The sequence below is a fragment of the Homo sapiens genome, chromosome 9, assembly GCF_000001405.40.
Source record: "Homo sapiens chromosome 9, GRCh38.p14 Primary Assembly".
NCBI lineage: Eukaryota > Metazoa > Chordata > Mammalia > Primates > Hominidae > Homo > Homo sapiens.
This window is the reverse complement of record NC_000009.12, coordinates 99,742,902-99,755,042: the sequence shown is the minus strand read 5'-3', so window position 1 is coordinate 99,755,042 and position 12,141 is coordinate 99,742,902. Positions and strand designations below refer to the sequence as shown.

Sequence of the window (12,141 nt, the reverse complement as noted above, 5' to 3'; positions counted from 1 at the left end):
ATCACTTATTTGACAAGCATCTACTGAGGATGTACCACACAGTAGAAATACCGCGTTAAAAAATCAAATATTAAATCATTATTGGATTCAGCACATAAATATATTTATTTTGGTTAAAAAATTAACCTAGTCACTTAGAGTGGGGTTATTGTTTTAGCCAACTGTCAGCCTAATTATAATTTCTGTTTGGTTCAACTATTTCTGCATTTTTTTCTCCAAATCATTTAGGATACATCGGTGTTGTTGAAAAACAAATTCAATCCACCTCAAAGGTGGTTATCTTTGTTTTAAGCAAATAATGTGTCTTAAAGTTGTGACTGGCTTCCTTTGTTTTTGTTTGTTTACTTATAATTATGTCAGAAAGTGGAAGGTTGGGCTTGTTGGGCTACATAAAATCTTATGTGGTATTTTGGCATATTAGTTGAGGAGAAACGGCAGAAAAATGGACTGGAGATGGCTGAATGAAGGGGGGTTAGGATTTTCCCTGTGTTACACTGAGTATTTCTGTTAGGTGTGGGGAGTGAGGAGATAGGACATTTTAGGACTATTATTACATGTTTATTAAAATATCTTATCTAAAGAAGGCGACAGAGAGAGTTCTGTCTCCACAGAAATAGGCTTTTGCTCTTATCCTCCCACATTAAGCTTTTCCCTCAATCCTTCTCTATCTTTGTAGCTTCATTCTCCTTCATCTGCCTGAATCATTTTGGGGCTCTGGTTATACTATCTGTAGCGAATCTCCATTATGTTGTCTGCTTCACGGGTTTCACTCTTCTTCCACTCCTTCTGGGAAATGCTCCTTCTAGCACTCCTGTCAGTTGGTTTGAATGTGAGCTGCCATGTTTCCACAGACATTACACCTGGTTCCAGTTGATGGCTAAAAGGTAGTCAGAACTCATCATTTGGATTTTTGAACTAGGAACCAGTGAAAGAATGATCTGTTCTTCTTTGGAGGTAATGGTAGCTCTAGGCAGCCATTTTCTTCATCATCTGCTTGCACCTAATTTAAAAGAATAAAATAAACTTGCAGAGAAAAGCAATGATGAGACAGGGAAGTTCTGGTGGAATTCAGGTTTCTGGTTGTGAAGTTGCTTATATTCAAGTCTCTGTCTTGAGGTCCAGTTGTAGCCTTGCCCTTCTTATAGCACTCAAACTAATACATTTCCCTTTTTGACTAATCTAATTCCATCTGGGTTTCTGTTACCTTGCAACTTAAAGAATCCCAACCATTCTACTTTACTCATCTCTTCTTCTGTATAACCTCTTCTGTGCATATTATTAATATTATTTTATTCATGTCCTTATAATATTAAGGGTTTGCATTGACAACACTTTTGCTGAGCTATATACCAAGTATCCAAAGTGAGCAATTTCATTAGGAAGTCAGGTGGAACAAGCGAGGTGGTTTACAAATACCTAGAAGATTAGTCAGGAGAACTAATTCACATATAAGGTCAGTCAAGACTTGTTCTTTAGAAGATGAGATCAGGATCTTGTCTGTAAAAAAATGGAAAGATATGGAATTTTAACTCTGAACTTCAGAGATCCTAGAAAACACAATAGATCATCAGAATATTATAATCACAGATGTAGGATGGGAGGAAGTGATATATCTATCTATACATGTAGAAATATATAGATATATATTCTTATAGAAATGTGTACATAGACCAGGGAGTTTAACATTTGCCTAGGAGTTCAATATCTATATATACCCACTGTATATACAGGTTCATCACAAGGAGGAGGCTTAAATATATTTGTCTTAAAAAAGAGTTCAGTGAAAAATTGGGTATGAATTTCTTTAATGAGAAATTAAAATTTTTATTAATATAGGTACTAATATAAAGACAAAATGTGACCTGGGGCAGCCCAGTTCATGTATTTTGCATTATGGACTTGAAAGCATTCTTTCACTTAGATCTTATAAAAGATATTATGATAATAAAAAGGAAAAACACCTAAAATATGAGTAAAAGATTTGAACAGACATTTCACAAAGGAAGATATATGAATGGCCAATAATAAGGACATGAAAATGTGCTCAACCTCATCAGTCATCACAGGAATGCAAGTTAAAACCACATGGGCTAACATTTAATATCCGATAGAATGGGTAAAATTTAAAAGTCTGGTATTACCTAATGTTGGATAGGATGTGGAGCAACCAGCACACTTAGTCATTGTTGGTGCATGTGTAAAATGATTTAGCCACTCTGGAAAATGGTCGGAAAGTTCTTACATAGTTAGGCATACGACTTATTTATGATCCAGAAATTCCACTCCTACGTATTTACCCAAGATAAATGAAAAATATGTCCACAGAAAAAACACTTGTGCAAAATGTTCATAACAGCTTTATTCATAATAAATAAATACTGGAAACAGCCCAGATGTCCATCTATCAGAGCATGAATAAAACAAGTATGGGATATTCAAATAACAAATACTACCTAGCAACAAAAATAACAAATCACTCAAACATGCAACAACATGAAAAAAAAAAACACAAAAACAAACCCCAAACTCAAAAGCTATAGTGGGTGAAAAAAGTGTACAAAAGAGTAAACATTTTATGATTCTACTTATATGAAGTTCTAGAACAAGCAAAGCTAATCTATGGTGAAAATAATCAGAACGGTGGTTGTCTGTGTGGTAGTGTGGGCTGGGATCAGCTGGGAAGGAACACAAAGGAACTTTCTGGGATGATAGTAATGTTCTATAACTTGATAGAGGTTGGGTCATACAGATATGCATTTGTCAGACTCATCAACTATTGCATTTCATATTTTTGCTTTTCACTGAATGTATATTTTGCCTTAAAAAGGAACTATAAACAAATGTTAAACTCTAGTTAATGATATGCATGTCAAGGCATTTGGAGAGAAATATTCTGGTATTGCAAGTTACTTTGAAATGCGTTAGAAAATAAGATGGATTGATGGATGGATAGAAGGACAAATAGATGGACAGATACATGATAAAAGCAAATATGGCAAAATGTTAATTGCAAAAATCCACGTGGTTGGTGTATGGATGTTCACTGTAGAGTTCTTTCAACTTTTCCTCTATGTTTGAAAATTTTCATAATAAAATATTTTAAAAATAGCAAAATTAAGTATAATGAGAACTGATTATATATTACTGAATGCATTTCATTAAACAACCAGCTTAAACATAACTATATGACCACCACATGATAAATTACAAATAATATGTAGGTACACCTCATTTAGGGCTGCCTCAAACAGTGCTGATTTGATATAGTGATGATTATCTCAGAAATGTTTTTATGTCAAAAATACATATGCATGAACATACATTACAGTGCTGAGGACAATGGTAATATAGAGACTTTGCAGGGTCCGTCAGTAAGTGCAACAGATTGAGATCTATCAAATGCTTAGGCAGCCAGAGGTGGCGAATGGGTCTTGCCACCCATTTCTCTGGTTTGATCCATATAAGGGCTGATAAAGGTGTGCACGTGGGAGTGCTGGAGGAGCCACAGATGTACTAGGCTGGATGTGTAAAATGCTAATTTTCTGTAGTGGGTGATCTGATCAAGGAAATAAATGAAAAAATAAAGCCATCAGCCCATTAAGGCTTGTTGGAAATCCTCTCAAAAGAGAGGCAGTGGAGAGTATGGTTCTGCAGGCAGACTGTCTGGTTCCAGTCTGGGCACTGTTGTGTGTCCTTCGGCAAGTTAAGTAACCTCTTTGCCTCACTTTCCTCATCCATAAAATGAGTATGATCATAGTATCTACTTCATAGGGTTATTGTGAGAATAAAATAATTTAGTACATATAAAGCCCGTAGCACAACTCCTGATACTTAGTAAGAACTCAGTACATGTACCGTCATCATCTTTTTTTTTTTTTTTTTTTTTTTTTTTGAGACAGGGTCTCACGCTATTGCTCAGCCTGGAGTGCAGTGGCACAATCACAGCCCACTTCAGTCTTGACTCGTTGGGCTCAAACAGTCGTCCTGCCTCAGCCTCCCAAGTAGCTGGGATTACAGGCATGCACCACCATGCACGGCTAATTAGCTAATTAAATTAATTAATTTTTTTTTTTTTGTAGAGACAAAGACTTACTAGCTTGAAATCCTGAGCTCAAGCGATCCTCCTACCTTGGCTTCCCAAGGTGCTGGGCTTACAGGCCATGGCGCCTGGCTCCATCCTCATCACTGTTATGAAGGGCATCTGATGCATCAATTATTGCAGCCTGGGAGGAAGTAATTGACAAACATCTTAGTTGTGTGATAAGAAATTATGTCCATAGGCATGTCATAACTTCAGGGCCTCTGAAGGGAATGAAACTATAATCGCCAATTTACAATGTAGGAAATCCCCTTCCTGGGACTCCCGTGGTAATCTCCCTCTACAGTGCTGATTCGGTGATCCTACCTTTTCCAGTAATGCATCCCTCCCGCTACACGGAGTAAGCCTGGAGGTGTAGCTTCCCATACTAGATTTTTGGAAACTTCCTTAGCTGGGAGGCCAATCCTAATCTAGTTCTAGATCCTTTTCTTAGATCATGATTTTGTAATAAATACATATCTTTCTCTTGTGATCCCCTAGCATCAGCATTCACTTTCTTTTTTTGAGACGGAGTCTTGCTCTGTTGCCCAGGCTGGAGTGCAGTGGTGCGATCTCGGCTCACTGCAAGCTCTGCCTCTCAGGTTAACGACATTCTCCTGCCTCAGCCTCCCATGTAGCTGGGACTACAGGCGCCCACCACCATGCCTGGCTAATTTTTGTATTTTTTTTTAGAGACGGGTTTTCACCGTGTTAGCCAGGATGGTCTTAATCTCCTGACCTCGTGATCCGCCCGCCTCGGCCTCCCAAAGTGCTGGGATTACAGGCGTGAGCCACCGCGCCCGGCCTTGCATTCACATTCTATGTCTGGGGAATCTTGGGTGCATCTTGGGGAGAAGCAGGACCCACCTCATTACAGAGCAAAAAAATCAGGCATTTGTTCTCCCTCACAGCTTAAGTTTGGGTTTGCTAACGTCAGCCATAGATTCTCCTGCCCAAGAATTTGAATCCTCTGGGAGTTAACCTAAAGAAGCAGGGACGGTTCAGACTTTCTTAAGGTGATGGTGGTAGCTGTGGCATCCAGCATCCACAGGTGGTTGTGTCAGCAGTTTTAGCAGGGTTCCCCAAGTCGCAGGTGGTGGCAGTGTCAGGGGTGTCACCCAAAGTTCAGTGGTGACAGCTCAGCACCTAACCATGCATTCCTGGCATGTGGCCTTTGCAGGGGTTCTGGTTACCGGTATTTTCCTGCTTATATTTTGAGCCTGGTTCTTCAGCCTGTGTGTTGATTCTGTGAATTATCCAGTAGCTTTCAATGAATTCATTTTTCTCAGTAATTAGCCAGAGTTCATCACCATTGTTTGTCACGTGCAACCCTCCTTAATGCACTGGTTTTCTGTGATCCACTGATCCTGTTCTATACCTACTAGTACTACACCGTCCATTCCTTTATGTCACAGGAAATGTGTTGATTGTAGAAAAGTCTAACCTTTGTCTGTTGTAGTCCTTGAAATTCAATTTTTAAAATACAGGCTCCATGTATCCGGCCATAAGCAACTGTGTTTCTTGTCAGAAGTTTACTGTGTTGTACAGTATGCATTGTATTTATTCAATTCATGTCTATTGAACGTTTGAACATTTACCTTGTGCTAGGGAATGGCTAGGCTTTGGGGACACAAAGTTGAATAAAACATGGTCCCTTTTGCACATATTTAGAATTATAGTTGTTTAATTTGTTATATCATGGTAAGATGCAGGCAAACCAGTTTAGCCTCACTCAAGGGATGGTGGGGAAGCAAAAAGTCCAATTAATGGGTAGGAGTGAGGGTGGGGAAGGCAGTGTAACATGTTGTGTAAAATCTTTACCTGGAAGTTTGGTTAGCATTAAGTCATATTCAGGCTTTTAGTTGCTTTGCGAAATAGGACAAATTACTTAACCTATCTACAACCTCAGTGTCTTTATCTGTAAAGGGGTGATAATAATACCTACATCCTCACATTATTTTGAAGTTTAAATGAGATAATGAATATAAAGTGATTAGCACAATGCTTGGTCCATGATTAAGTGCTTAGTAAAATGGCAGCCATCTTCACATACTGAGATATGCTGCCTAAAGGGATTGTGTAACTTCTAGCTTAAGTACAGCTCTCAAGCACATAAACTGTGTCTTGAGTTCCATAATCTCCTTGGCTATTTTAGGCCTTCCTTTTTTTTTTTTTTTCCGTTTCTAGTCAGGTTCTATTATATTATTCTTAACATCAGTAGTCAGAAATGTATGTTTTCTTCCAGCATGGATCAACTACAGTTTTAAATAGAAGTGGGCAATATTTCTGCCTGTTTTTCAATATTCTACTTGAATCTGCTTAGTAGCATTTTAATTGATTTTTTTTTTGGCTGTAGTATGTTGAGGCAGTGTCCTCCAAGAAATATCCATGTCCTTTCCCTGCATTGACACAGTGTCTTAATATGAACTTGAGGATATTTTTTTCCCTCAATTGCATAAATATGTGCTTTACACACATTAAAACCTCTTTGCCTCTTTCCTGCTTACTCATGGGCATTTACCATTGCTTAATATAGAAGGCCTGACTTGTATGTTTCAAAAGAAACTCATGATGCATGAATCTCCCCTGTAGTAATTTTTTTCCCCATGAAGACCAAGAGAAATGGTTAATTTACCCAATTTGCTATCAGATCTCCCTGAGCATACCTCTTGTAGATCCTTATCATTTAATTGTTATTCAGATTATTCGGCCCACTTTGTTTTTAAAAAATATGTTATAAAAAGTGATTTATTGCTTTTGGGGTCCTTTTCAAAGTATTTCTCAAATGACATTTGGTCTAGTTTTCAATTTATGACTAAACTGCTATGTTTTGTGGACCTCATTGTTTTCCTTATACGGGCTAATTTTCTATTATTAAAAACTGATTTTTTTTAATCCTGTAATTGTTGTTTTGGACATCAAACAGGTGAAGTTTTTGTTTATTCTTGGAAGAGTTTTTACTTAAAAAATTTTTTTCTGAAGTACTCCCTTCTCAATCTTATATATAACTTCATTTTTCGTTGCGTGATTTCTGATGGGTTGTTTGAAAACAGTCTCCAGGTTTCTATCTCATTTTCCCTTTTCATTCACTTCTCTTCCCACCCCAACACCTGCATTTGCTTATGTTGAAATCAGCAGAAATGACACCAAGTAAGAGATAGTAGACTGAAGTTCTAGTGCCAGGATGGCTACAAAGTCACTGCATGGCTTTGGTTAGCTCATTCTGTTACAGGAAAGGGGTCCCGATCCAGACCCCCAGAGAGGGTTCTTGGATCTCACTCAAGAAAGAATTCAGGGCGAGTCCATAGAGTAAAGTGAAAGCAAGTTTATTAGGAAAGTAAAAGAATAAAAGAATGGCTACTCCATAGAGAGAACAGCCCCAAGTGCTGCTGGTTGCCCATTTTTCTGGTTGTTTCTTGATGATATGCTAAACAAGGGGCGGATTATTCATGCCTCCCCTTTTTAGATCATATAGGGTAACTTTCTGACATTGCTGTGGCATTTGTAAACTGTCATGGCGCTGGTGAGAGTGTAACAGTGAGGACGACCAGTATTCATACGTGTACCTGTGTGTACATATGTGGCCATATTGGTTTTGGTGTCTTTTGGCCGGCTTCTTTACTGCAACCTGTTTCAACAGTAAGGTCTTTATGACCTGTGTCTTGTGCTGACCTCCTATCTCATCCTGTGACTTAGAATGCCTTAACCATCTGAGAATGCAGCCCAGTAGGTCTCAGCCTTATTTTACCCTGCTCCTATTCAAGATGGAGTTGTGCCGGTTTACACACCTCTGACAATTCAACTGCTTTGGCTTCCAGTTTTTGCATCTGTGAAATTAGGGGAGTTTATTTATTTATTCAGCAAGAATTTATTAGGCACAGATTATATGCTAGAGACTGTGCCAGGTGCTAGAAAATCTACAGTGAACAAAACAGTGAAGGTGCTTCCCCTCATGAGACGTATATTCTAGTATTGTTAAATTATATAAACTCCAAGTATACAAGGCTGCATGTATACTTCTACGTAATTCCAATTCTCTTTGGAACAGAATAGAAAACAAACAAACAAGAAAACCCTGTAATATATCTAAAGTTTGGTTTTGGCTTTTTGGGTATTCCTTTGACTTAAAATAAAGATCTTATAGTTTGTCCTAAAGGGAATTCCATGGAAACCAGTGTGAGATGCTCTACCTAGAAAGGATTCAGGTTGAAAGCTGCATCCTCTATCCCCCTCTTCAAGTGAATCTTAAAATGCTTTTGGAAATATACTCCAGAACTCTGCTTTTTTTGAAGCACATTTAAAAAAGAAAAGAATTACTGGAATAATCTGACCTTTATTTAGATGTGGGAGTCAGCATCAGTGAAAGAGGAAATGAAAGCTTTTTTGGTTGCTGCCAATAAGACAATATTTATTGAGTTATAAGATTGTTTTCAGTTATAGAATATAAAGCTCTTTACTGGGATCAGTAGTAATTCATAGATGATGAAGAGCAAAAAGTATACATTTTATTATTTGGTGGATAATATAATATGTAAACGTAGGCCTTGGAGAAATAATGCTGCTGTTACACATCTAAACACATTTGCCAGAAAGTTATTAATGTTACAGAAATTATCACAATAGGAGTCCTCAAAAAGATATTTAAGCCAAGTCTTCTTCTCTCCCTGTATTTTCCATTTAATATAAAGTGGGCTATTTGTGGGGATGGTATATGCCAGGTAGTAAGAAAAGGCTGGACTTACATCAAGGTAATTTTGGAACTATTATCAGAATGGAGCCATCTAAAAGGAATGTTTATAACAGATAATGGTTGTCAGGAAAAATAAAATAGAATGAAATATGTAAATAAAGTGACAGAAAATAACTGATGAGCTAGTAGAAAACTCAGAAAACATTTTGCATGGAAATCAACCCATAACAGGGTTTTGCTTGATTTTATGGGAAACATTTAGATAGTAAATGTTAATTTTTATTGTTTCTCAAATTCATTCTTATCAAGGATAATTCTTTCTTCAACTCTCAATTACACTTATAATTTTTTCCTGTTCATGAGTTCATACTACATTTTCTTAATATCATGGCTCTAATTTTACTTTTCTTTCTAGAATAATTTTCTAGAATTTTCTAAAAATTCAGGAACAATAACCACTGTTACTGAGAGGAAGTAGGATCTAGTATTCCAAAATTTTTCATACATCTACATATGTGTACATATGTAAAAGTAGCTATAAAAATATAAAGTAATGCCAAAAGAAAAATGGGGGTAAGAGCTATTAATATTTCAGAGGTGGGAAAGATTACTTCTAAATTGGAGGAAAAGGTAAAATTTTGTGCATAAGACTTGTACTGGTCTTAAAAGATAGTAAAATTAGGGCATTCAGAGATGAAGCAGACACTTCCTAAGTGGGGGGAACAGTAGTGCTATATAGGAGAAAGTATATTGTCTTGAAGTTAACTGAACTTTGGTTCAATTTTCTCTAATTCTTAGTTTCATCTGTGAAAATGGGAGCGGTAACATCAAAACCTTGCTGCAGGCTTGGTGTAAGATGAAAATGGTATACTCAAGTGGAATTGCTTGGCAAAATTCCTGGCAAAAAGTGGGGTAGGGGGCTTTGACTAAGACCTCCTCTTCCTTTTTCATGTAAATATGAAGATCAGCCTCACGCCCCCTCCTCTACCCTGCCCCCACAAGGAGTTTGCTGGAGACTTAATCCTGGTTCCAGCATTTACTGCCTAAAGGACCTTAGACAACTTATTTAACCTCCCCCAGTTTCAGTTTTCTCATCTTTAAAATGGAGGCTGGGCAGGTGGCTCATGCCTGTAATCCCAGTACTTTGGGAGACTGAACGAGGCAGGAAGATCGCTTGAGCCAGGAATTCAAGAACAGTTTGGCAACATGATGAAACCCCATCTCTACAAAAAATATAAAAATTAGCCAGGCGTGGTGGCACATGCCTGTAGTCCCAGCTACTTGAGAGGCTGAGGCGGGAGGATTGCTTGAGCTTAGGAAGTCAAGGCTGCAGTAAGCTGGGATCGTGACACTGCACTCCAGCCTGGGCAAGAAGGCAAGACCCTGTCTCCTAAAAAATAAAATAAAAATAAAATGAAGATAATAATGGTACTAATTTCACAAGGTTGATGTGAGGAGTAAATGAGTTCACATGAGGTGCTTATAAAATATGTGGCACAAAGTATGTACTTTTTAACTATTATGATTTTTTTTTTTCCATAGGCACTGAGGAGCCAGTGGAGGGTTTTGAGATGGGTGTGAGGGGTGGGGTGGGTGGTGGGATGGGGCTGGGGGTTGCAGAGAGTAGCTTAATCTTTTCTTTAGAGGAATTGATCTGTTGGTGGTTTATAAATGGGAATTGTACGAATAGGAATTGGGTGGTGAAGGATTGAGGAGAGAATAAAAGTGGGGCAGACTAGTTAGGGGATTAATAAACACTTCTGTTCAGAGACATAAGGAGCCTGATGAATAATTGTGGCAGCAGGGACAGAGAGGGCTTAGACTAGAGATGTGCTTTTCAACCTTCAATGTGCCCATAAATCACCTAAGGATCTTGTGAAAATGCAGATTCAGGTTCAGTAGGTCTGGGTAGGGCCTGAGATGCTGACTTTATAAGAAGATGCAGGTGGTACCAATGATACTGGACCACACACCACACTGACAAGGGTTTTGAGGGTAGGATTGATAGGATTTGACAATTGCTTGGTCATGAGGGGAGAAGACAGAGGGCTCGTAGGTTTCCAATAGAAGGAGCTAAATTGAGAAGGAAAATAGTGAACTCAGGTTGACCTGCTAAGCTTGATTTCCTGAAACTGGAGTTGCAGGAGATAGAACAGTATAATGACAAAAAGATAGATTTATTGTCAGAAGACCTGGATTAAATCCTGGCTCTAACAATTATTAGAAAGATGACTCTGGACTCTTGCTGTTCTTCTTCCTTTCTAAAGGAGAGACCACAACGACTATTTAAAAGGACTGTTTATATGTATAGATTAATGGAAATACATTGTGAAAACCTCTCACATGTTGGCCAGCACATAGGTGGCACTTCCTGAGTGAATAAAAATCACATCTATAGACTTTATAGAATTTATAGATGAATCCAGCTCTTGGCAAAGCTGATCTGGGCTTTAACATATACGTTTTTCCTACCACATGCATACTGATACTTCAAATTGTACGATAATTTGACAGCCTTCTGAACTTTATGTTTTCTAAGTATTCATTAGCTGACATAATTTCAGGGGACTTGAATGCCTGGATTGGCAGCGGTTCCACCAGAGCTACATCCATCAGAAACCTGCAATTGTCAGATTCTTCCTTTTAAGGCACTTTTCCAGGAATAACTGTCTGAAGCAAAGAGGAAAATATCTGGTCAAACTCATTTATAATCATAGTCCAATAATGGTAAATGGCAGGCTGTGGGATAAATCTGTGGCCTTTCACTTACATTTCTAACCAGAGGCAGCATTATTGATGATTGAAGAATTAGTTCTTTGGAGCTTATCTACATCTTTAAGTTGGATATTTTAGACTGGTTGAAAGTAAATATTTTCCCCTTAAACTTAATCTGAACTTTCAAAGTGGCCCTTATGTCTGTCCCTATACATTACTCAATCAGTGAGATTTTAGAGATAAGGTTAAAGTGAAATGAACAAATATATTTATGACATACAAAGAGCGTATTAAGCCTACTAATAAGATAAGGGTCAAAAAAGAGGAACGTATAGCACATAGTTTACTTTGGAAGGCTTGCTAATAACTATTTGTAGTATTAACAAATTGTGGTTACACTATTATGTCATGGGACTATTCAAGAACTACCTCTTTTATTTCTTGTTCATAAAAGAGATCAGAAATCAAAAAATAAAAATAAGTTAAAAAAATTATAGGCCATATTATTAAGCTATTACCTCAAATATAATTGTGCTCAAGTCATCTAAAGTCTCATTAAGTTGTAATTGTTTAAAAACATCATATCCTTTCCAAAAATTAAATTACATCAAAAGATCCTGGTATGTTTTGGGCTCCACTGCAGGGACACTAACAGTGC

General features: G+C 37.7%; 2 long non-coding RNA genes across 2 annotated transcripts in view; one reads left to right on the top strand and one right to left on the bottom strand.

Moving 5' to 3' along the window:
* LOC101928438 (uncharacterized) overlaps nt 1-12,141 on the top strand; it is a 234,104-nt gene that overhangs the window by 64,847 nt on the left and 157,116 nt on the right. The gene's annotated exons all lie outside the window — the stretch shown is intronic.
* LOC124902234 (uncharacterized) overlaps nt 4,163-12,141 on the bottom strand; it is an 85,285-nt gene continuing 77,306 nt past the window's right edge. Inside the window, exon 3 of the long non-coding RNA XR_007061699.1 lies at nt 4,163-4,223. This is a non-coding gene — a long non-coding RNA (uncharacterized LOC124902234). The remainder of the gene's footprint in view (nt 4,224-12,141) is intronic.